General features: G+C 39.7%; 1 protein-coding gene across 3 annotated transcripts in view, besides 2 other annotated features; it reads right to left on the reverse strand.

Moving 5' to 3' along the window:
- Window positions 1–24,748, reverse strand: part of OBI1 (ORC ubiquitin ligase 1) — a 44,867-nt gene extending 20,119 nt beyond the window's left edge. The window contains exons 1-5 of one of the 3 annotated variants that reach the window (NM_024546.4): window positions 24,642–24,748; window positions 10,455–10,590; window positions 7,715–7,806; window positions 4,416–4,664; window positions 703–791 (exon numbers count right to left, since the gene is read on the reverse strand). In NM_024546.4, the coding sequence (NP_078822.3) occupies window positions 703–791; window positions 4,416–4,664; window positions 7,715–7,806; window positions 10,455–10,590; window positions 24,642–24,713 (638 nt within the window). In that variant the 5' untranslated portion in view covers window positions 24,714–24,748. Of the gene's footprint in view, window positions 1–702; window positions 792–4,415; window positions 4,665–7,714; window positions 7,807–8,618; window positions 9,146–10,454; window positions 10,591–24,641 lie in introns of those variants that run through there. The other 2 variants (XM_011535225.2, XM_024449410.2) reach the window with 2 other exon arrangements.
- Window positions 23,156–24,116: an enhancer, noted in NCBI's record as "OCT4-NANOG-H3K27ac hESC enhancer chr13:79231698-79232658 (GRCh37/hg19 assembly coordinates)". NCBI's record gives its function as "activates a minimal SCP1, AML or CMV promoter by ChIP-STARR-seq in primed H9 embryonic stem cells {active_cell/tissue: H9 hESC(primed)}" and the evidence as "EXISTENCE:reporter gene assay evidence [ECO:0000049][PMID:30033119]".
- Window positions 24,027–24,106: an enhancer, noted in NCBI's record as "active region_7848". NCBI's record gives its function as "activates an Ori minimal core promoter by ATAC-STARR-seq in GM12878 lymphoblastoid cells {active_cell/tissue: GM12878}" and the evidence as "EXISTENCE:reporter gene assay evidence [ECO:0000049][PMID:35858748]".
- Window positions 24,749–26,367: the final 1,619 nt, after the last annotated feature.

The following is a 26,367-nucleotide window of genomic DNA, read 5'->3' on the forward strand; positions in this document are numbered from 1 at the left end:
CCTCAGCCTCCCGAGTAGCTGGGATTACAGGTGCCCAACACCACGCACAGCTAACTTTTTTGTATTTTTAGTAGAGACGGGGTTCTGCCATGTTGCCCAGGCTGGTCTCGAACTCCTGACCTCAGGCAATCTGCCCAACTCTGCCTCCCAAAGTGCTGGGATTACAAGCATGAGCCACTGCGCCCCCTGGTCAAATGCTATTTCTAACACTTCCACTTGTGAAGATTTAGGTAAATTAATTTAAACTCTTTATGCCTCCATTTTCTCATCTGAAAATAGAGAATAATAATAGTTCTTCATTACAGGTTGTTGTATCTTGCAAAGAGAAAGAACTATATGAACATTAACTATTACTAAGACTATCTAAGAAAATAGCTAAAGGGCATTACCTTAATCTCACTACTATGTTAGTACTATTAAACAGTTATATGTAAAACCAAGTCAATGCTCACTTGTGTTAGGTCACATTATTCACCAGATAAGAAAAAAGTACAGGCATAAAATTCTTTCTTTAAAATTAGCCTTAACCGAGACTAAAATTTTACCAACAACACGAAGTATAAACTTGACTTTTAAAGGCAAGACATTCTACCTAAATCTACATGATTAAATGAAGAGTCAAACAAAAAACAAACCCTCACAGCAGCCTAGTCTAAAATATTGACATAATCTGAAGCATTGCTCTGGGAGCAAAATACATACTTTTGAGGTGATCTGTTATCAACTTCAGCCTTCAGTCGTAAATTCTCCCTCACCAGACCACCATTTTCCAATTTCAATTTTTTATTTGCCTAAAATAACAAATTGAAAATAAGTAAGCAAAAGCTACAATAAAAGTGACTTGTAAAAATTACAACATGAGCCATCCGTATTTTTTAGAGTGATAATATCAGAAAACTGAATAGTAGAACATGGCCTTCAGAAACTTAAAATCACTACTGGGAATGACTTCAGAAACTGAATACTACTGAGCATTTTAAAACCATATTCCCCAAGCACTTTGCAAATCTCCTGTCCAGGGAAATAAACAAAACTATGTTAGTTAGCTTAGAGTCATTAAGGGACCATACTAATGGCAAATGTATGTGTGATTTTTTTTCTTTTTCACATAACTGAATATTCTAGGCAAGGTAACATTATACCACATGCAATATCGGCAAACTAATGCTGAAGAGTTAATTCTTGAGCTTTGAAATTGATTTCTGGGGTGCTGTTTAAAAATTTTTTTCTAGTGATAACAAATCTAATATGATTTAACCACTTGATTTTTTCTCTTCAAAAAGGCTTTTCCAACGTTCTGGCTCACAACTTCTAGGGCCCTCAAAATTGGATCTATCTATCTATCTATCTATGTATCTATTTATCTATATTTTTTGAAAGAGTCTTGCTCAGTTGCCCAGGCTGGAGTGTAGTGGTGTGATCTTGGCTCACTGCAACCTCCACCTCCAGGGTTCAGGTGATTCTCCTGTCTCAGCCTCCCGAAGAGCTGGGACTACAGGCATGTGCCACCATGCCCAGCTAATTTTTGTATTTTAAGTAGAGACAGGGTTTTGCCACAGTGGCCAGGCTGGTCTTGAACTTTTGGCCTCAAGTGATCCACCTGCCCCAGCCTCACAAAGTGTTAGGATTACAGGTATGAGCCACTTGCCAGGCCTGGATCAGTATTTTCTAATAAATTCTATGAATTGTTCTTCGATTAAAAAAAAAATCCTTCCAAGTATGATTTTCTTTCTTGAATTGTATAACACCTAAAAATTACCTAACAGGACACCAATTGCTAGAAAATCTAGAGGCTCAACACTGATTCTGGACACACTGAAAACTAGTGTGCTTAAATTTTAGAGTCTTCTTAGAAGCTACTTCCTTTAAATTCCCTACTCATTGCTTTTATGTATTACAAAGAAAAATAACACTCCCTAGACTAGAAACCAACCTCACTAACCTGGGAAAGGGAAATTCTTTGACCAGAACATTTACATTTAAAGTGAATGGGTCACAAGAATAACTGTCACCAAAAAAGGTTTAAACCAAGAAGCCTTTAAAACGTATTTCAAAAATTTGGCTATTACTTAGATGAATTTCAAGAACTTCTGACTGTATTACTTACTTACCCACATAAGCTGCAGCACAAGGATCACAGAAGAAATAAGGTAGAGAACATTATTTGGGGGCATAAAGTCTAACTCCCTGACTTAGACCCATCCAGGTTCCCTCTGGGCTCTAGGCACCTGCTTATCTTCATGAATGCACACCAACCAGGACTGTGGAGAGTTAATTCTTTAAGTGACTGATAAACACCATTACTGCTTCTCTGAAGATATAAGGAAAGCCATTTACTTCCTCATATATGCAGACAATGAATTAAGCTCTCAAGCACAGCACCATAAGGGGAGGCATTTAGTGAATGCTTTTTGATGATGATGACAAGCTTAAATTAGAAACTCATTTGATTTCCTTTCCCCTTCCCTGCCCCCCACCACTACTGTATGGCTATGTTTCAGTCTCTCAACAGTCCTTTGACTCTCTAATACTTCTCATTATAGGCTGGCTAGTTCCTCAACTATCAGAGATCTTTTCAAGTTCAAGAAGGTTAGGTGAATAAAAGTTATGAAGGGCAGAGTTCTGCCTACCTTTTGCACCTAAAAGAATAATGAATATTTCAGCTAACCCTTCTGCATTCTCAACACTGATTGGGTAATGACACTGGCCTCACGATGGTTCAAAACTCACCCATTCCAGGTAACATCAGAAAAAAAGTCCACTTCATTCATGCTAAGTAATCCTTTATTCTGAATCTTTTGTATTCCTGTATTTGATTATGTTGAGTATGTTATTACTCCACACTTTAGTTTTTATCTCTGCAGTCCATGTTTTTTCATTCACTTATGTCCCAGTTTATAACCTATTACCTACTAGCATCACTAGGCATAGAAAATGGGCTTATTCAATATCCCAAAGAATTCTGAAGTCCCAGGGTAGCTTTGAGTATTGAATTTAACATTTGACCATTAAAAGAGCAAAGGAAAATTAACTGTGCTTTATGTATTCTTCTTTAATATCCATCCCTCATATCACCCTTATAAGCCTCATGTTCTAAGAAATATTTACTGCCAAAACTTTAAACGAAGTTTAATAACTACAAAGGAGATCATATAGTGCTTACCAATGGCTCAAGAAGAACCAGGGAAATTAAAGGGAACAAGGCAAATTGATAAATACTGTAATTTCCGAGTTGGCATTCCTTTTAGTATCCTATTGTCTTCTAACAAATCAAGGTACTAACACTGGTCATCAATACCCAAAGAAACTATGCACTTCTCCCTCCTACACACTTATAACAAACTCAGTACAATTATGTCTGTAGTTTCTTTTTTATCTAAAAGCACTAGGCTCTCTCTTCTCCTCACCCTGGCCTTTTCTGAGCCCAAACAACATTTATTTTATATGTGGAAGATGGCTTACATCTAAGTTGCAAGTATTTCTCTGCTACTTAACCTGAGGACCTGAGAGCCAATATACAGGGGAACTCCTTTAAAATACCATATGGAGCTCATTAATAATTTTGAGAGATAAGATTTAGTAATTTCACACAGGAATAGTATTTTAAGGAAATGCAAATAGTTGAATATGTGATTGTAGAACTGAGTACTACAAAGCCATCTCCTTTCAGCACAAGAGGACTCCACTGTGGATAAACTTGAACTCAAGCTAAAGGCTGATCACTTGGGTCAAGATGGTGTTGTAGGAGTTGCCTGTAACATCTAGTGCTGATGGCATGGATCTTATCTCCCTTTCTAGGCCGAAAAATCCTAGAGGTTTGCCTTTTTCACCATGCTGTATCTCGTTCAAAGAAAAACTGAAAAAAATGAACCAGTTTCATAAATCACAACATTCTTTTGCATGAGGTACTCTGAAGCAGCTGCTTATTGCTGTCCTGGAATTAGTCACCAAGTCTTTATCTATCTACAATCTTAAAAATAAGAGAGTGGTAGCAAAAGAAAAGATAAGGTCAAAACTTTTCCTTTCATTGGTGCGAAAATGGTTATGTGTTTGTTTTTAGGTACACAGGGGAAGTCGCTGATATAAGCTTAAAAAACCTATGGCAAACCACAAAGAGGACGAAACAGAAACACATCCTTTAAATTGGTATTATTCTTCTAGAAGAAGATGCAATCTTATACAGAAGCACAACAGTCTCTAATTATAGTCACACATGGAACCACCTGATATTTCTTGGCAGTTAATGATATTTAAATAAGAAAAAGTCTTCTTATTGCATATAAATGCTCATCCAGAGATTCTGTCCTTTCCTCACAAATCATCTGATGATGAGTCAAGATAATATGGCTATTTATGCTTTTGAAGGTACTTATTTTAAAAACAACCATAATAGATTTTTAAAAACCACAACTTACCTCCTTTAGCTTATCCACATCATCTTTCACTTTTTCATAGATTTCATTAGCTGTTCTGAGTTTTTTCTTCCACTCTGCTACAGTTTCTGGGTTAATTTTACTTGGATTATCTGTGACTAGATGTTTGTCTTCATTTTGGTTGCCCTGCACCAAGGTTAAAGGATCCAGAATAGTTTTGATCTGTGACTCCAAGCTGAGATTTTTACTCTTAAGCTCTTCTACTTCTTTCTGTAAACAATCTATTTCGTCCTGAAAAAGCATTGCATAGTCATGAGGCAGGCATAGACACTAAACACATACATACATATGCTAAACTGAAGCCAACATGGTTTGAATTTTGTACTTAAAATTCTGTAGATACATAGATTCTTTACATATCAAAAGAGTTTTGCAGGGAGAAAGTCACATACAGTTTAAATTCTCAAAATGTGGCCTGACTGATAAAAATTGGGATTTATGTTGCCTTCATTTTAATTCAATGTTAGTTGTGATTTTTAAAAATGCCAAATCTTTGATTCTATTTAAGATATCATCCAGGTGGAGAAATAGGAACACTTTTACACTGTTGGTGGGACTGTAAACTAGTTCAACCATCGTGGAAGTCAGTGTGGCGATTCCTCAGGGATCTAGAACTAGGAATACCATTTGACCCAGCCATCCCATTACTGGGTATATACCCAAAGGACTATAAATCATGCTGCTATAAAGACACATGCACACGTATGTTTATTGCGGCATTATTCACAATAGCAAAGACTTGGAACCAACCCAAATGTCCAACAATGATAGACTGGATTAAGAAAATGTGGCACATATACACCATGGAATACTATGCAGCCATAAAAAATGATGAGTTCATGTCCTTTGTAGGGACATGGATGAAATTGGAAATCAACATTCTCAGTAAACTATCGCAAGAACAAAAAACCAAACACCGCATATTCTCATTCATAGGTGGGAATTGAACAATGAGATCACATGGACACAGGAAGGGGAATATCACACTCTGGGGACTGTTGTGGGGTGGGGGGAGGGGGGAGGGATAGCACTGGGAGATATACCTAATGCTAGATGACGAGTTAGTGGGTGCAGCGCACCAGCATGGCACATGTATACATAGGTAACTAACCTGCACAATGTGCACATGTACCCTAAAACTTAAAGTATAATTAAAAACAAAAACAAAAACAAAAACAAAACAAAACAAACAAACAAAAAAAAGATATCATCCAGAAAATAAGAAAAGTCACATGAATTCCAACAGGGAAGTAGATTCCATTTCAAAAAAGAACAAAAAAACAAAAAACTTGAGGCATACTCAACTGCTTTACTGAGGGGAATTTGAAAGTACATTGAGGGGGGCCGGGTTAAAAAAAAAAAAGGTACAGTTTGTCCCCACCTCATCCCCACATCTACAGGGGATTGGTTCTAGGACCCTTAGGGATACCAAAATCCATGGATGTTCAAGTTCCTGATGGAAAATCACTAGTGCTGTATTTGCATATAACCTACATACATCTTTCCATACATTTTAAGTCATCTCTAGATTATTTATAATAACCAATACAAAGTAAATGTCATACAAATAGTTATTAAACTACATTATTTTTATATATATTTATTTTTTTAATTTTCAATCTTGGTTGTTTGAATCCACAGATGATGAATCCTTGGATATGGTGGGCTGACTGTACAGAGTTATCAAGATGATCGTGCCTGTAATCCCAGCACTTCGGGAGGCCAAGGCAGGTGGGCCAGCTGAGGTCAGGAGTTCAAGACTAGCCTGGCCAACATGATGAAACCTCGCCTCTACTAAAAATACAAAAAATTAGCTGAGTGTGGTGGCAGGCACCGGCAGTCCCAGCTACTTGAGAGGCTGAGGCAGGAGAATTGCTTGAACCCAGGAGGCGGAGGTTGCAGTGAGCCGAGATCATGCCATCTGCACTCCAGCCTGGGTGACAGAATGAGATTCTGTCTCAAAAAAGAAAAAGAGGATTGTTAGGGTTTTGATATTTATACTTTCACTTCTATATTTGAAGTATGAGTGAAACCATCTACCATTTCCTTCTACTTTTCATTCCAGAATAATATCTGTAGTTAATTTTGAATTTTCAACTTTTCTGGATTCTGGTTCTTCAATTACTACTGTGACTATTGCAAGTATTAGCCTTCCCACTCTGGAAATGTTTATTATCCTAAAACCAGTCACTAAACATTTGGGTTAGAACTTCTTACTATGATGCCATTTATTCATCTATAATAAATATGTCACCTTAAATTGAGGTTGTTAAAAATTCTGCTAGAAAATAAACCCCCAAGTAGCTCAAGTGATCTCCCAAAGGATTAATTTGTTTACCATCTGAGTATGATAAATATTCATTATATAAAAATACATTTTAGCATTAAATGTCACACAGATAGTACTACTTACTATTTTAAATTGCAATACATTTCAACTTAAATAGCATTTTCATAAAACAAGCAAATTCATATATGTAAGGAACACATATATGAATAAACATATATTCAATCATGTATTTATACCCCACTGCATTCCAAAAATTTTTGAGGCAGTTGAGGCACCTTCCATGTACACAGTTAAACTGAAAGATATTTTGAGTCAAGAGGGGATCGATATCTCCTTCTTCAGTCAACATAAAATGACAACTGGGCTTAATGTGTACTATTCAAAAGTGTATGTATTCTATTAGCATGAATTTATTTGTAAAAATAGCATCACCATGTCCAATCATCCTGTTCATTCACCTTTAGACAATAATTAGGAAACAGCATGTTTCACACTAAAATCTCTGTGCTGGCAGTTGACATAAGGTATAGTATTTACTTTACTAGAATTGATCAGGCTTATAATCATCAGTAACTTCATAGGCAGAAGCAACTGATGACTGCAGAGGTCAGACTGGCTTTCACAAGGAGATTTCCTTTTTCTCCCAACTTCTTGAGGAAGCAAATACAAAATGATATGTCTGTGGAGGTACAAATTTTAACTTAAAAAAAAAAAAAAAAGAAAGAAATGCTTCCATCTGTTCCTTTTTTCTGGAATCCCATTCCCCCATTCCTTGGTACTTAAAGAAAAAAAATAAAACAAAAAATCTCTTTCCTCTATTTAAAATACGAAAGGAAAAAAGAAAAAAGAATTTATCAAACAATTTCTTTTTATAGGCTTTTAAAATAAAATTTCATTGGATATTTACTCTAAGAAGTCTGGGGACTGAGGTAGGTCAGTTTTTACCTTGAATTCACTGCTAACATAATTTTAAACTTTGATTACTGTTTACCTCATATTCTTTGTGTAGTAATTCAAGTCTAGTTTTCCGAAGATGCTTCCTGACCGTATGGCTTAGCATAGGTTCACTTTCACTTGTTCCTCCTGTAGGGAAAAAAAAAAAAATCCTAATTTTTCATTCTGATTCGGGAAGAATGAAAATGATCCTTTTTCATATTGTTTTATATAGCTTCCCAGCTTCACATCTACCCTTCCCCTTACATACACACTTGGGGCTTACATCTAGGCCTTTTCTCTACCCTAATCTTGAGGAAAAAAAAATATATCAAATAACACCATAAGAAATACCTTCAGTAACACATCATATTGTATTTACATATCTACATATCTTATCACAGCAAACTCAGTGGAGGAAAGGGCTGTAATTATCACATTTGGACTACTTCAAATTCTGAAAACTAGACTATATTTAAATAATAAAACCAATTATTACATTTACATTTAACCAAGAGATTATATAAAAATGTATTACTGGCTGGGTGCAGTGGCTCACGCCTGTAATCCCAGCACTTTGGGAGGCCGAGGCGGGCGGATCACGAGGCCAGGAGATAGAGACCATCCTGGCTACAGTGAAACCCTGTCTCTACTAAAAATGCAAACAAACAAAATTAGCCGGGCGTGGTGGCTGGCGCCTGTAGTCCCAGCTACTCAGGAGGCTAAGGCAGGAGAATGGCATGAACCCGGGAGGCGGAGCTTGCAGTGAGCCGAGATTGCGCCACTGCACTCCAGCCTGGGCGACAAAGCGAGACTCCGTCTCAAAAAAAAAAAAAGTATTACTGCTATATACCTATGTATATAGATTAATGTGTCTTTTCACGGATTCTAACAGGCTAGTTACAATGGACTGTAAGTCATGGCATTAACTCTATGTCATGACTTGTTACAAATGCACTCACAATGAATTCTTCCTGAGAGCTCTTCACTGATGCTCTGGTTACCTTCTTTGTATTTTTTAGCATTATAATAATAGCAAAGGTATTTTACAGGTGTTCTTTTTCAGGATGTTCTATCCAAATGCAAAAATGGATGAACTATTTTCCTTGAGAGAATTTATGAAATATCACTTAGGTATGAATGAATAAAGGTAGGATATGGGATGAGAAGAAAAGCTGGGGGAAAATATTCAAATCATCAAAGCTCATATTCTGCAAGAAAAGACTTGACTCCTTGGTGAAATTCAGCAGGTAAAAAAAAACAGATAGAGGTTAACCCCGTAGCATGCAACACAGCAGAGAACCAGTCCTCTACCAGACTTCACCCAGGTACCAAGAGCCAACTCTGATTGCGCCTTCAGATCTCTTATTTCCTAAGTCCTACTAGTTCTTCTTTTGCTCTGTAGCATATATATTCCTTTCTATTTCCTTTGTAAAAATCTTGGCTGGGCACGGTGGCTCACGCCTGTAATTCCCAGCACTTTGGGAGGCCAAGGCGGGCAGATCACCTGAGGTCGGGAGTTCGAGACCAGCCTGACCAACATGGAGAAACCCCGTCTCTAATAAAAATACAAAATTAGCCGGGCGTGGTGATGCATGCATATAATCCCAGCTACTTAGGAGGCTGAGGGAGGAGAATCGCTTGAACCCAGGAGGCAGAGGTTGCGGTGAGCCGAGAACGCGCCACTGCACTCCAGCCTGGGTAACAAGAGCGAAACTCTGTCTCAAAAAAAAAAAATCTTATTTAAGTCCATTTTCCCTAACTTGGGACTATTACAATGACTTCTTAAGTTTTCTGAAAAATGTTTTCTATACTTGGCTAATTGTAGATTCACTTTCAATTTTTCCTATAGCAAAAACAAGTAGAAATCATTTTAATTTTTGCAACCTAAAATAAATAACTTATATGAGTAGAATAAAAACCAAACTCTAAAAAGGCTCTTTAGAAGTTCTCCTTTTCAAGGATCCTCTAGTTCAAGCTTTACTCCTCCCCCACCCCACCAATATTAATGTGACATAGAATTTGTTTTCACCCTTAATCCAAACTTACATTTTCTATCACCTAGGCAAAAGCCTCCTACCAGACCTACTCACATCCTGTCTACTCCTATAGTCCAACCTATGTATTACCACAAGTAATATTTGTAAAGCACATTTTGGATCATACCACTCCCTTGCTCAAAACCATCATGCCCAATTCACCCTTCTTCTTAGTCCTAGAGCAAGTCCCTGATTTAGCTGTCATTCAAGGTTCTCTGCACTAAAGTCTCAATTTACCTTTTGTCTTATCTCAGTAGTCGGACCCAAAGTAGACTACTGATCATTTCTAAAAACATGCTCTGGGTTTTCCTGTATCTAAACTTTTTAGTTCATGCTATTCTCCCTGCAGGAAATGCCCTCCTTAATTTTCACCGTTGAAATGTTATCCATCCTTAAATTTAAATGTCCAGCTTAAAGGCCACCTACTTTATGAAGCCCTTCTCGGTGTTCTTAGCTGAAGTTTCTTGCCTGAACTCTCTGGGCTTTTTTGGGGCCCTTAGCACTTGCTGCTTTTCTTTTGGTTCAGTTGCTATGAAAATGTAAGTTCCGTGAGGCTCTCAGGGTTATTCCTCTTAGCACCTCTCAGTGCCTTGTGCCCCAGTTGCTCCACATATACATTACACAAATTACTCAACCACTCAGTATTATGTTGGCCAAATAGCATCACTGAAAATAGCCTATTTCAGTCTTCCTCGAAATATAAATTATTTGGAGATTGTTTCAAACCTATTCCTATGCATATATAAAACAGGCCCTTACCTATAATTTCTTTGCAAGGATTTTCAGGAGTGATGGGGACTCTGCAAGCTGGACACTGGCTATTATTCTTCAACCACAAATCAATACAAATCGAACAAAATACATGGTTGTTGATGCATATGACAGGCTGACGTACCTTTGAAAAAAGAAATCACTTTTAGTACAGGACAACGGTCATAATTAGAAGATCAAATGGTTTAGTTTACAGCAAACTGCTTCTCTAGATTATAGCAGAGTAGGAGTTTAAGAAGGGATATCTAGCGCTTTTAAAAACACTGCTTCTGTTGGTCACTTTTCTTTTTACACATGTTTAACAGAGATACTAGATGAGATACTGGATCATGGAGACTGAAGCTTTTGACATATAAAATGCTTTATTTTGTACCTAAACCACAGAATTCATGCCAAAAAGAAAATGCTTTTTGTTCCACTAAGGCTGGGACAATTTTGCTCAAACTCTTCTATTTTAGCATTATAGAACAGCAGGATTAGGTTTTTGAAAATATCATTTAGCACAATCATCCATCTGATGCCCGAATCCTTTTCTCAATTCATTCCACTGTTACAGAATAACAGCAACTATTAAATATTGTATTGATACTTTACTAGAAATTCCCCAAAACCAAACAGTAATGAAAGCTAAAACAACCCAAAAGGCATGAGCTTCACTCTCAAGTAGTTTATAATCTAAACAGCAAACAATGCAGACAGAATTACTGAGATACACCAAATACACAAATCTTTGACTCCAGGCTCCATTTAAACAAGCACAAATAATAATACCTTACATTTATAGCATTTTTTTTTGAGACGGAGTCTCGCTCTGTTACCCAGGCTGGAGTACAGTGGCACCATCTAGGCTCACTGCAACCTCTGCCTCCTGGGTTCAAGCAATTCTCCTGTCTCAGCCTCCCGAGTAGCTGGGACTACAGGCGCCTGCCACCACGCCAGCTCATTTTTCTATTTTTAGGAGAGACGGGGTTTCACCACATTGGTCAGGCTGGTCTCAAACTCTTGACCTCAGGTGATCTGCCCACCTCGGCCTCCCAAAGTGCTGGGATTACAGGCGTGAGCCACCGCGCCTGGCCTGTAGTCATATTTTACAAACGGCTTTCACATGCATCTTTCACCGCCCCAACCCTTTTCCATCTCTTTTTTTAAAAATACCACAACTTGGTGAGGTAAACTGGGTAAATATGCTTTACAAATAAGAAAACAAAGGCATGAAGAAATTAGGTAGCTTGCTCAGGGTTAACTGGGTGTGTTGACTGTTTGTAGTTGTTTTATCAGGAGGAAGAAAGAAAAGAGAAGCTGCTTTGGTTTTCTCCACAGCATTTATATTACCTGATATTATACTCGTGTTTACATATTTATTGTCTATCTCCCTTATCAGAATGGAAACTCCATGAGAGCAAGAACTTCTTTACTCTCATTCATAACTAAACCTTTAGTGCCTAGAAGATAGCTTGGTACTTAGCAGGTACTCAACAAAGGTCTGTTGAATGATTAACTGCTATTAAGATAGTGTTAACATTCAACTAGTTGGGAAAGTTGTCAGAAGGAAATAATGATTTAATATTTTTTGAAATAGCACAAATTTAAAAATACAAACAAAAACAGCACAGAAAAATGTAGTCTTATCACTTGATTTACATGGTCTCTTCACGGTGGGACTCAAAACATTTCATAGCCATTTTCAATATTTCCCTAATAGTAATTACAGTATAGAACCCTTCTGCACTAGGAACTGGAAGACTAGGTCAAGGGAAAGCAGAGTAAGTAGAGGGAGAATGAAGAGGCAGAACCACCACAAACCACTTTTCTCGGAGAAAATGCTTGTGCTACTCTATGTCTGCCTTAAAAGAATCTACTGAGTATTCATTAATTTAAAAGGGGCCCCCACCTCTCAAAGAATTAATAGATGCATAGCTATTCATGACTGTAGGGAAAAGAAAGAGAGATCAGACTGTTACTGTGTCTATGTAGAAAAGGAAGACATAAGAAACTCCATTTTGACCTGTACCCTGAACAATTGCTTTGCCCTGAGCTGTTAATCTGTAACTTTGCCCCAATCCTGTGCTCACAGAAACATGTGTTGCATGGAATCAAGATTTAAGGGATCTAGGGCTGTGCAGGATGTGCCTTGTTAATAAAATGTTTACAGGCAGTATGCTTGATAAAAGTCATCACTATTCTCCATTCTGGAGTAACCAGGGGCACAATGCACGGCGGAAAGCCGCAGGGACCTCTGCACAGGAAAGCCGGGTATTGTCCAAGGTTTCTCCCTATGTGATAGCCTGAGATATGGCCTCATGAGATGGAAAAGATCTGACCGTCCCCCAGCCTGACACCCGTGAACGGTCTGTGCTGAGGAGGATTAGTAAAAGGGGAAGGCCCCTTGCAGTTGAGATAAGAGGAAGGCCTGTCTCCTGCCTGCCCCGGGAATGGAATGTCTTGGTATAAAACCCTACTGTACATTTGTTCAGTTCTGAAATAGGAGAAAAACCGCCCTGTGGCGGGAGGCGAGACATGTTGGCAGCAATGCTGCTCTGTTACTCTTTACCCCAATGAGATGTTTGGGTGGAGAGAAGCATAAATCTGGCCTACGTGCACATCCGGGCACAGTACCTTCCCTTGAACTTATTTGTGACACAGATTCCTTTGCTCACATGTTTTCTTGCTGACCTTCTCCCCACTATCACCCTGCTCTCCTACTACATTCCTCTTGCTGAGATAGTAAAACAGTAATCAATAAATACTGAGGGAACTCAGAGACCAGTGCCGGTGCAGGTCCTCCATATGCTGAGCACCAGTCTCCTGGGCCCACTGTTCTTTATACTTTGTCTCTGTGTCTTATTTCTTTTCTCAGTCTCTCGTCCTACCTGATGAGAAATACCCACAGGTGTGGAGGGGCTGGCCCCCTTCAATGATGGGCAGGTAATCATTTGAGTCTCGTTACAAAGAGCTCTGGTCTCAGTCTGGCTTTCTGAACATTCTGGTTCTCCCTTGATTATGAACACTAACCCAAGAAAACTAAACAAAGATAATCTGGAATAGATTTAAACTTCTTGGAGAAACTTAATTCTAAGCATTCATTTCAACTGGTTTGACAGATTCATTAAAAAAAAAAATAATGAACCATAGTGTTTCAAAGTCTTCTTCCAAAGTGGTCCTACCAGCAGCCAGGAGTGAACGCTTATCTATAAAGTATTCCTGGTCAGAGTCTCAAATGGCAGACAAACCTGAACTTTCTTTGCAGGTTCTATTTTTTTTCTTAAAAATTCATGTGATTTGCAAGTCCAGACCATAATATATTCATATATGTTTTAATTTCATCTTTATGTCATGAAATCTTTTAAGAGCACAAAAATCCCAAACCAAGAAGATACTGCCTTATCTATCCTGTAACTTCCCCCAAACACACACACACACACACACACACACACACACAGACACACACACCCCTGCAATATTCCTAGAAGTACTATATGCCCCAAAATTAGGAAGCTCAGGTAAAAAAGGAAGTTATCTACTGTTATCTACTTTTATAGTAAGTTATTTTTTATAAGTTATAAACTCATCTGAAAATGGATAAAAGCCAATGCTCAAGACATAAAAGTGTGCACATTATATGAGAGGATTCAAGATGCTCTGCCAATCTTTCCATAAAAAAAAACACATTTAAAAGCAAAGCGTGCACATTATATGAGAGGATTCAAGATGCTCTGCCAATCTTTCCATAAAAAAAACACATTTAAAAGCAATCAGTAGGTCGGGCACGGTGGCTCACTCCTGTAATTCCAGCACTTTGGGAGGCCGAGGCGGGCTGATCACCTGAGGTCAGGAGTTTGAGACCAGCCTGGCCAACATGGAGAAACCCCATCTCTACTAAAAATACAAAATTAGCAGGTCTTAGTGGCGTGTGCCTGTAATCCCAGCTACTTGGGAGGCTGAGGCAGGAGAATCACTTGAACCCGGGAGGCAGAGGTTGCGGCGAGCTGAGATCGCACCATTGCACTCCAGCCTGGGCAACAAGAGCAAAATGCCATCTCAAAAAAAAAAAAAAAGAATCAGTATTTTTCATGTATTTGCTCCCACAACAAAGGTTAAATATTATCTCCCCAATCTATGAAATGGTTTTGAGCAACTCAGTAGTTGGTGTTATCATATACTGAAGTGGCAAAGACAAGAAAAGCAGATTTCGCACAAGGTAAAAATCAAGAATTCTGTTTTAGCCATGCTAAATTTGTGATGCTAAGCCCATTTTTAAGTGGACAAGTTCAACAAGGCAGGTTTTGAGTCACTGCCATAAAAGACATGAGCATATAAGGCCATAGGACTGGAGGAGATCTCATGAATGGACAAAACAGCTGGAGAAAAGAAGGCACTCCAGCAAGCAAAGGAAGAGGAAGAGCAACCAGCAGAGGAAACTGACAAGGAGGGGTCCTGTGATGTAGGAAAGGAGAATATGATATCACAGAAGTCAAGGCAAGAAAGTTTTTCAAGAGAGAGGCAGCGGCCAGATAAGTAAAATATTGATGTGAGATTGAGTTTGATGTGCACTGAGATGTGACTATGGGATTTAACTGCTTGGAAGTCACTCTGATCAGTTACCGACAAGCACTGTTTCAGCGAATGTTGGGGATGGAAACCTGACTGGAGGTTGAGAGACAATGAAAGATGAAGAAGTGAAGACAGAAAATACAGACAATTCTTTCATGTTTTGCTGTAAAGGAGAGAGCATAAAAATGAGACGACGGTTAGGAATACCAATGGGAATGATAAAGAGAGGATATTAGTGATGGATGAAGAGTGATGGGGGTATTACAGCGATAGGCAACAAAGTCCCTAAGAAGTCAAGAGGGGAAAGGGATCCAAAGCACAAAAGGAGATTTTGGCACATACAGGAGTGAGGGTTTGTCTTCTTTTGCAACAGAAGGGAAAATAGGGGGTGTGTGAACAAACACAAAGGGGTTGGAAGATCTGTGGATGGAAAAATGAGGAAATTCATGTTCCCACTATCTCAGCTGCTTATCTTTTGTCATCAAATATGAGGTGAAGTTATCAGCTGAAAACGAGAAGGGAAGTGGGTTACAGATTTGAGAAGACAGGAGAATAAAGCAGTAATTTTGAAAAGTGAGAAAGCTAATTTACTAGGGATAGGTAGCAGATTGCTATACATTGTTGAGTTCCTTTTCCAGGTCTGTGGTTTCTAATGCAAAGTAAGATTAATTAACGTAGGTGTGTATTTTTCTTATCAATATTTAGCTGTGGAGACTCAGGAAGGAAGTAGATGAGTAGTTTGGTTTACCCAGAGTTGGGGTTTTGCCAAGGAGGAAGAGACAGGGACTGATGATAACAAATGACCACGAATAATAAGGGAAACAAGTACACAAGCGGTAATGATAACAGTGAAAAAGTGATAGGGTCAACAAAAATGTCTCCATGAGGTTGAAGTAATGGTAGAGAATAAGTATGATAGAAACAGGATCAGAGAGTGGGATGCTTATAGTCAAGATACTAAAGGTGGTATAACTGCCTTCTCTAATGTTTTGTTCTGGGCCATCTTATCTGATGTGTTCTATTTTCTCTCTCAATCTCATGTGTCACATGGCATTAACATCTATTCTATGCTGACAACTCCCAAGTCTCCCTCTGTAACTGGAGTCAGTAAGTGGCAGAGCTTAGGCTCTGACAGACAAACCTGGGGCCAACTCCAGTTCTGCCATTTATTGAGCAGTCTGACCTTGGGTAAGCCCTTTAGCTACTGTGGGCATCAGTTTCTGCCTCTGAAAACTGTGGCTTAACCTAGTAACCTTTTCATTCAGGTTTAAGATAATATAATGGATGTCAGCACAGACACTTCTACATAGCAATCCCTCAAAAAAAAAAAAAAAGGTAATATTACTATATCCAAGTGCCTAGGAGCCGACTACATATAAGGATCCTGCAGCTGCCTCAACCATAATTTGGCCTCCACTACACACTTGCTCCTCTTCCTGCACACCCTCCCACCTAAGTTAATGAGATCACTACTTCTCCACTTGAGCTACAACAGAGCTATCTCTGAATCACTCTTTTTACTTATCCTCACCATCCAAACTGTCACCAGACGCTGGTATTATACATTAAGTCTAAGAAGCCACAGATTTGAAGATTCACCAATATTTTATGTATCACTAAGAATGAAAAACTGTCAATTACAATTGTTAAGATACAATCAGATTCCAGAGATGTTATAATTTGAAAAAAAATGTACATCTCAGAATAGTCAAAACATGACAAATCTACCTCCAAACATTCTTTCACCTCTCATCTATCCTTTCCTTTGCATCTTCACCCCAATGAATTTAAGGTTCTCATTCTTTTGTCTTTGATCTACTGCAATGACCACCTCCCAAGCTTCCAAATGTTCATTTCAGTACATCTTTCACAATGATGCCAGAGCTACCTTCCTAAAATATGAATAAGCAGCTTTCACTCCTCTCCTACAAAACAGTAATGATTTTTTTCCTGCTCATAGTTCGAGGTATAGCCTTCAAAGAACATAATCTAATTCTTAAACAGCCATTTCCCTTGACCTACCATTTCAATATTTGACACAATGCACACTTCAACCTCACAGGTCTACTTATGTTCACCAATAAGAATATGAACACTGGGGGCTCCCTGTTTATGGGGCTCCCTATTTATAGAGCTTCCATTTCTCAGCTTGATATATCCTCCTGGTCTCTCCATCCTCCTGACAGTAATAAAAAAAAAATTCCTTCCCTCCTTTTAAGATGCAAATAAAATGCCACCTCCTCTGCAAGCCCTTCATTAATCTTTTTCAGAATTAACCAAGTCTTTGATAGGGCACTCTCTGTTCATTTATTTAATGTTCACCTCTTTCTGCATTGTGCTGTACTTAGAAACTGCTTACATCCTGTCTTCCTTATTAGATTTCAGGCTCACTGACAATAGGGTGAGTGTCCTTCTCATCTCTAACAACTGCAAGATTAATAAAAGTGAATTTTGATGTACTATAATGAAAGGCTGAGATAACAATCCTAAAAGTGCTTCAAGCAGCAAAAGGTCAACAGCCACTGTCAAACTGTAAAAAAGCAAAAGTTTAACCTCCCCATTTAATATGACAAAATGATACAGAACCACCACCACAGGCCGACTGCTTGGCTCTGTCTGCTAAGAGTCATTAACAATGTCACCCACAGGAAAGTTTTCTGCACCTTTGGATACCTGGTATTATCACCACCTTTGTGTTGGGAAGATTTCGGAAACAGGTGACTAATTCATTTCTTTGGAAATGAATATTGGAATGAGTATTTATCAGATGATGATTTCTAGACAACTCAATGAATTTATCTTACGAGAATAGAAATTTCTAAAGAACTACTAAAACAAGTTACTTGTTATATATTTGACTGTAATCTGTGGTAGCAAAACACAAAGAATCTAGCACCCATCCTCTTCTACCCAGATCCTGCTCTGGGTAGAACAAAACACACACATAATTTTCTTTAATAAGATCTTCCCAAGACAAAAAAAAAAAGGTCATCATTTGTCACATTATTAGACTTTCTATCCAATTTACTCTCAAATGAGACCCGTGGCAATAAAACAGTACTCATGAAATAAAAATGCAAGACAAAAAAATGGCAATGGTAAGTGACATACAATTCCAAACTCATCTGGAGTAAGCATAGTAAAGTGGTATCCTAGGGAGCGGTCCCCAACCTTTTTGGCACTAGGGACTGGTTTCGTGGAAGATAATTTTTCCACAGACTGGGGGGTTTCACCTCAGAACATCAGGCATTAGACTCTCCTAAGGAGCACACAATCTAGATCCCTTGCATGCACAGTTCACATTTGGGTTCATGCTCCTATGAAAATCTAATGCTGCCTCTGATCTGACAGGAGGCAGAGCTCAGGTGGTAATACTATCTCACTCCCTGCTCGCCTTCTGCTGTGCAGTCCTGGTTCCTGATAGGCCACTGACTGAACAGTACCTGACTGAGACTGGAGACTCCTGCCCTAGGGTATATCCCCCAGGTGTAAAGGATGGGCTCTTCTTACTGGAATGGGCCTGAGGGGGCAGTTCTTGGGGCAGATATATTAACCTTACAATCTGTTACTCTGATATTTCATTTCTTTTAAAGATGTTCCAGTCTTAAGAGAGTCCACTCTACCACCAAATCCCCTTTCTTAAAAAAGCAAGTATACTTGGGCAGAGACATGCCTAAGGCTGTTGTTCATTAATATCCATATCATCCTAGACTTACCCACTAGGAGTTACACATTGGCTTCAAACAGCGTTTCTCAACTTTGACATTACTAACATTTTGGACTGAAGAAAGTCTTGTTTTAGGCGGTTCCCTGCATATTACAGGATGTCTGGCTAGCAGCATCCCTGGGCTCTACCCACTAGATGCCAGTAGCAGCCCCTTGAAAACAATGAGAAATGTCTCCACACACTGCCCCATGTCCCTGGGGGACAAAATCTACCTCCACCTAGTTGAGAACCACTAGTATGGTATAGTCAAAGGAATCTTACTAATAAGCTAGTGGGGCTGTTGTATCAAATCCATTTTCAGTTGTGGAAACTGAGACTCTAAGAAATAATGATACAGGTTATAAATGGTAGAGCTAGCATTTGTACTCAATGTGATTCAACTGCAAAATCATGTGTTCTTTCAACTAAGAAACAGTTCTTTCTTCCTTGGAGCAGGGTTAGTGAACAATAATCTGGGAGAAATAAATACAGGACGATGTGCCTGAAGGAAGTGAGATCCTGGACACTGATGGAGGTGATGGGAGTGAAGACGGTATTGATGAACTTTACCAACTGGTCTTGCAATTATATCTATTATAAAACCAACTCCCCTGCTCTTCTGGCATCCTCCCCTCACTAGAGACAAGAGCCAACTGTGCTTCTAGAAAGAATATTATTCTTTCTTGCACCTTGTCAAAACTTTATCGGTTTCTCTAGTGAAGACCTGGAAAGACTATGTAAAGGATTAGTCTTCAGTGTAAAAATGACTATGGTAGGGGCACCACTACTTCAACATTAGGAATTTGGAAACTTTCCAAAATAAAATTCCTGGATAGCTCTTGGTTATGTTTTAAGAAATCCCTGGTTCTGGGCCAGAATTTAGGTCCTATAACTTAAGGAAAAAAAAAAAAAAAAAACCTGTGTGAAATAAGTCACTTAATGCCTATAGAACTGGTTCCCCATTCCTGTCTAGGTAAAAGGAGAGATGATACATCTCTTCTCTTCTACCTTCATCCCTACCAGAAATGCTTTGGGATAAACTGGAATTGTACTTGTCAAGTAAGTATGTCAGCTATTACATACCAACCCTGATAATTACTAGGATACATCTACGATTTTTGAATTAACTTATTATACACTATGTATAAAATGCAATATTGTTATACTTTTCTGAAAGTGAATCCTTCAAACTTATTTTCAACTGGAAAAAAGAGAAAAATGTAGAACTTGCAGTCCATATGGCTTTTTTTCAAAGCAAATTACTTATGACAATTATGTACAAGGCTGGTTCTTAAATCCACTCTTGGGAACTGAGAGGCAATCAGGACTCAAACATGGGCTCCATGTACTGACGTGGATGACTTGCTGATCAATCAACAGCTCCAAGTGAACAGTGATTAATGAATTTTGTCATCCTAGAGTGAGGACTCTAAGTTGCATAAGGCTTTGTCTCTAGCCCTATATTTTCAATATTTTAAATAAACAATATGGGTGAGAAGAAGAGAGGCATCCCTGAAAGAAGGGATCCTTTTGATAGCATTCCTTATGGGAAACAGTCAGTCTACTAGAGGATACTCCAAGACACAGGAACTCCTGCATTATAAGGAAGCTGATTTCATTTCTGGTTATTTCAGCCAGAACACTTGCCCTTAATATTAAGTAGAAATCATAATTTTATGGAGCCACACAAGGCTTGAGTCCCTTCCAAATGAAAAATATTTTAATTAAAGATTCCCTATCATATCCATTCATTCCAGCACTATTCCAGTCCACCTACATTCCAATCCCAATTTCATTCTCCCCCAAATGTTTTCAAAATACTCTGGTTTATTGTTTATCTTAAAGGGTAGGACCCAAAACTGGACTCATAGTCGAATGAGAAATAACTGAATATGATACATTAATGCTGAAAAGCATTAGTTGCTTTGCATTTCTCTTGAGAATCTCCTTCACCCTTTCATAAAACCAACTGCGGGCCACATTTGGCTTTCACTCATGGCAAAATGCATGCACGGCCAATAAAAAGTATTACATGCCATAATTTGGTTTCACAGCTTGAGTCCCAATTGAAAAGATAAACCCTGGAATTATCTAGAGGTAAACTGGTTTGTAACAGCCTGGTGGCACTATCAAAATGTCACTTAACAGATACTCTGGGATAGATCATTACTACATTTCTGCTTGCTGGCCCACTAGTTTAAGAAACAAACAAACAAAAAAAAAACAGGGAAGAATAGGTAAGAAAATATGTTATGCGTAAATCATCCCATGGGATGGTACCTAACTTCTTCAGGCCACATAGAGCTCTTACTTACAATATTGGCAAAGTAACTAAAAACATTATTGGGTAGAGAAAATTCACCTTTAAAACTGAAGTAGAGACAGAGGTGTAAATTTTCCAATTTTAAGTGCAAAGACAAAGCATTAACAGGTGAATACCTGGGCTCTCTCTCCTTCCTCTCCATCCCCACTGGCATCTATCTCTTCAGATTTAATGCCCTGCCCTCATCTCTCCCCCTTCATGGTATCCACCTTGTGACCCTCCAGGGATAATGGTCCTTAATTCTGTTGAATAATCAAAAGAGAAGATGCTGACTGTGAGATCTGGGGACATATGGTAACAGTAGCACAAGAACAATTATCTTTAAAAAAGAGCTAGGCACGAAGGACCTTAGGAACATTCTTAGAAGTGGCCAGAGATGCTCTATGTCAGGGAAGCAGAAGCGAACCTGAGGACACGCCAGTTTTAGTATCTCACAGTATAATACGTGTAGGAGGGTGAGCAGCACAATCATACTGAATTTGCTTTCACTATAAAAAAGAAAAGAGACATGGAACCAGCTGAAAATTCTGGATGTACTGTGGCAATTTCCAGAACAAACAGGTCTCATTTGGTTGGGAATGCAAATCTTCATTTTGAAGTGCTCCAGCCTCACAAAGCAACTGGGAAGAACAATTACTGGAAAAGGCTGGTTTCCTCAGTTTGAGGGCTGGCCTCAATGGCTATAGTAAAAGCTAACAGTTATTAAACATTATGTGCCAGACTTTATGCTAAACTTTGCACATGCTTTGTTTAATCTTCTGAAAACTGAAAGGATGGGGAGTTGATGTTATTACCATATTTTTACTGTTACAGATAAGGAAACAGGCTCAAAAGAGTTAAGTAACTTAAGCTGGGAGTGGTGGCTCACGCTTGTAATCCCAGCACTTTGGGAGGCCGAGGCGGGCAGATCACCTAGTTCGGGAGTTCAAGACCAGCCTGACCAACATGGAGAAACCCCGTCTCTACCAAAAATACAAAATTTGCCGGGCGTGGTGGCGCATGCCTGTAATCCCAGCTACTCAGGAGGCTGAGGCAGGAGAATTGCTTGAACCCGGGAGGCGGAGGTTGCGGTGAGCCGAGATCGCGCCATTGCTCTCCAGCCCGGGCAACAAGAGCGAAACTCCGTCTCAGAAAAAAAGAAAAAAAAAAGAAAAAAAGTTAAGTAACTTGTAAAAGGTTGTATGAGTGGTAAGTGGTAGATTAGATTAGAACCCGGCTAGCCTGAATGTAGAACTCAGGCCCTCAGTCACATATCCTTTCTGCTTCCATGGTACCTGGGGGGGGGGGGGGAGGAGCCTGTTTAAAAATCCTTAATTAATTAATTTTCTTTTATTTTTAATTTTTTTTTTTTTTTTTTTTTTGAGACAAAGTCTCACTCTTGTTGCCCAGGCTGGAGTGCAATGGCGCGATCTCAGCTCACTACAACCTCCGCCTCCCAGGTTCAAGCAATTCTCCTGCCTCAACTGGGATTACAGGCGCCTGCCACCACACCCAGCAAATTTTGTATTTTTAGTAGCGATGGGGTTTCACCATATTGGCCATGCTGGTCTCAAACTCCTGACCTCAGGCGATCTGCCCGCCTCGGCCTCCCAAAGTGCTGGGATTACAGGCGTGAGCCACCGCGCCTGGCTTAACCTTTTTGAGCCTGTTTCCTTATCTGTAACAGTAGAAATATGGTAATAACATCAACTCCCCATCCTTTCTGTTTTCAGAAGATTAAATGAAGCATGTGCAAAGTTTAGCATAAAGTCTGGCACATAAGATTAAGACAAAAGTCTTAATCTTTTTATTTTTATTATCTGATTTTTATTTCAGAATAAAGTTAACCAATACAGGAAAAAAAAAACACTAAAAATGCCTGATGTCATGGATGAACTTAGGTGAGGGTTTTACGAAGTAATCTGAAGACAAATGGTAATAATGATAGAGGTTCAACTATGAAGACTCAAAGTCTTAGTATTCTGAAGACACAAATGATAGTATAGAGGTTCAACCACAGACTCTAAGCTTTAATATTCTTATTTTAAAAATGGAAAAACCAGCCCTATCTTAAAGCATTGGTGTGAAGAGTAAACAAAATAATATATGCATACAAAAGCACTCTGTAGTCTGCAAATCACTATATTCTATGAGGTATCACTCTCGTTAAATACAAAAAGTATAGGTTTGGTAAATCAAACAGAACACTGTCAATACAATTGCAAAAGACAGCCTATAACTAATGGAAACTATATATAATGTGTACAAAATACTTCCCAAGAATATTTTTATCAGCCTTTAAAGCCAGTGTTGGAGGAAATTAACTCAGAATTTAACACATATTTCCAGGAACTTTATGTCAGGAGCCAAATGTAGACTGTGGCAAATAGAAACATCGCTTCTTCCCTCCCCCTAGCCGTGCAGGCAGTAAGTAATAGCTCAATGCCAGCTCAAACACCATCCTCGATGAGGCCATCCTTGATCTCTCCAAATTGATCAAGCCATCCCCAATCCATGATCTCCCAGCACATTTGCTATTTCATTGGCATTTCATTCTGACTGCTATCCAGAATTATCAGTTGCTTCCAATGCTGACTTTCTTCTACTTTTTGAATCCAGTAAATTCACACAGAACTTCAAACACCCCAGGCAGATCGTATTGGCCGGCACTCAAATGCTTGCTCTAGAAGTTTGTATTTCTCAAATCTGAGTCTACGGCTCAGTCTGCGCTGGGGGGTAAACACACACCCTGACACACCACAGACGTAAAAATAATTCAGGGTGGAAAAAAGTTGGTGGTTTATCTTTCCCCTTCTTTATCTATTCGGTAAAGAAATGCTCTTTAAAACACCGAAAGTGAGGCACAAATGGAAATGAAAGAGGAGAGGAATGCATTAGAATATTCAAAGCTCCGTTTCTAATTCAGAACCACTTTCCCTACCTTGTTTCACAAACACACTAGGCACCTCTTGCATCACAAAGAGAGAGTATTCTATCTCCTGACTGACCCATTCTTGGAGTTAAAAGCCACACCTCTTATTCTAATACCCTCCAGGAGCACTTACTATTTACTTTTCAAATTAGGAATTCAGAGCAAAGGTCATCCTCAAGGCCAGGATAAAGGCAAAAGGTCTTGGAAATGGAAAAGACTCAATACACAGCACCGTAGGCCCCAGAGGATGAACACTAGTTACAGAGGACTAAGAAGCCCGAGGTGAGGCTCCCAGGAAATGTGTTTTAATGGGCTTCACTACACGCCACGCGAGGCTGCAGAGGGAAGTTAAATATCCCTGCGATGCGTTTCTGATGGGGCCTCCTTCGAGGCCGGTGTCTTGCCAGTGTGAGGCCGCGGGCGGTGGCAGGGCCGTCTCGCCGCCCTCCCGGCAGACCACGGGCCGCTGTCACCCTCCTCCGAAAGGCGCCCAGATGAATCCATTAATCACGGTGCGCTACCCCCATCTCCCAGGACGCGGCCTCCCATCAAGAACGCGGGTTAGCGTTTTCTCCCATCTCCGCGCCTCACGCCCCTTCCCCGCCCCCGCACGAGACGGCCCTCGGCCCCGGCGAGCGACTTATCCAACCCCGTTTTGTAGCTGTGCCCACAATCACCCATTACCTTCCCCAAGCAAATGTGGCACGTGATGGGCAGAGTGAGCGACAATGTAACATTCTGCACGGTCTGAGCCATGGCAGCGTTCAGAATCCCGCCAACACGGAAGTCCCGCCGACCTACCGCTACTCTTCGCCAAGACTGGGCACGCGCGGGCCGGCTACGGCGCCCCGGTAGGGCCATAACCCGCCCAGGAGAGAAAACGAAAACGCGCTTTCGAAACGCGCGATCTCCAAGGCGTTTTCCTTTCATTAAAAAAAAAAAAAAAAAAAAGAAAGAAAGAAAGAAAGAAAGAAAATTCACTGATTAGGGAGCTGCAAGATTCCTGCGAATGTGTAGGAAGGTAGTTTACTACAAGTATCGAGGATCTTGGAAAATCTAAAGGAAAGCGGAATAGTGGAGACAGAAGAGGAAGATACGGAAAGGCGATTTTTTAAATCCCCAAATTGTTTTCGGGGATTGGATGGGGTGAAGGATGGAGAGTTTTTCGCCTAATTATTAAACCCCACACATCCGCCAACACAGCGTAATCAAAACATAGAGAAAAGACATTATCTACACGTTTCAATTTTTTTCAAAACAGCTTTCCACCTCTGTCAGTTCTCTTTCCACTCAATATAATGTGCTTCCAGAGGGCACAATAATTCACTTAAGAAAACAGTGATTGTCTCCTTATCTGTGTCCGAGACGATCCTGATACATTTAATCGCAGCTTTCCCTGAAAATACATTTTTACTGTGGGCTTCTCTGGGTTTTCCACCAAAAGGAGATTAACGTTTTCACGTCTTCATTTCAGGTGCATGGTTGCATATGAAATGTACCGCTGTGTTGTTGAACCCCAAGGGAGAATTTGTGAGGTTATAAGTTGCGTTTCCTACCAACAAAAAAGAAAAAAACCTAAAAGTTCCTAAATTTATCTTAAATGCAGTATAACAAATTTGGAATTTATCTGCAACTTACTTGAAGCGAGGAAGAGCTGATGTGATAAATTACGCTAACAAGTAAAATCTGTGAGTTGAGAGATTTAAAGACAAGACCATCGGGACAACTTTTACTAATCTTTGTGAAAAAGACGCAGTATGACTTCAAGAAGCAGCCTCATGGTTAAGAGAAAGGGGTTCTGGACCTGGGCTGCTTCAGCGGAAATCCCTGCCCCCAACAACTTCCTACCTAAACGGTAGCTCCATGGCTTCTGGCAACTTTTGTTTTGTTTTTTGAGATAGGGTCTAGCTCTGTCACCACTAGGTGCCAACACAGCGACCTCCCAGGCTCAAGCGATCCCATCCGCCTGCCTCAGCCAGCCTCCCGAGTAGCTGGGATTACAGTCATGCGCCACCATGCTTGGCTAATTTTTGTATTTTTAGTAAAGACGGAGTTTCACCCTGTTGGTCAGGCTGGTCTCCAACTCCTGACCTCAAGTGATCCGCCTGCCTCGAGGGTCGGGGAGTGGTTTCCCCATGTTGCCCAGGCTGGTCTTGAGCTCCTGGGCTCAATGGATCCCCCCTCCTTGACCTACCGACAGTGCTGGGATTACAGCCGTGAGCACTATTCTGCACTCTACTTCTGTGAGATCAACTTTATTAGATTGTACATGTGAGATCATGTGGTAATTGTCTTTCTGTGTCTGGCTTGTTTCACTCAACACAGCGTCCTCCAGGTTCAACCATGCCGTTGCAAATGACAGGATTTTATTATTTTTTATGGCTCAATAGTATTCTATTGTAAAGACATT

Source organism: Homo sapiens, chromosome 13, assembly GCF_000001405.40.
Source record: "Homo sapiens chromosome 13, GRCh38.p14 Primary Assembly".
Classification (NCBI taxonomy): Eukaryota; Metazoa; Chordata; class Mammalia; order Primates; family Hominidae; genus Homo; species Homo sapiens.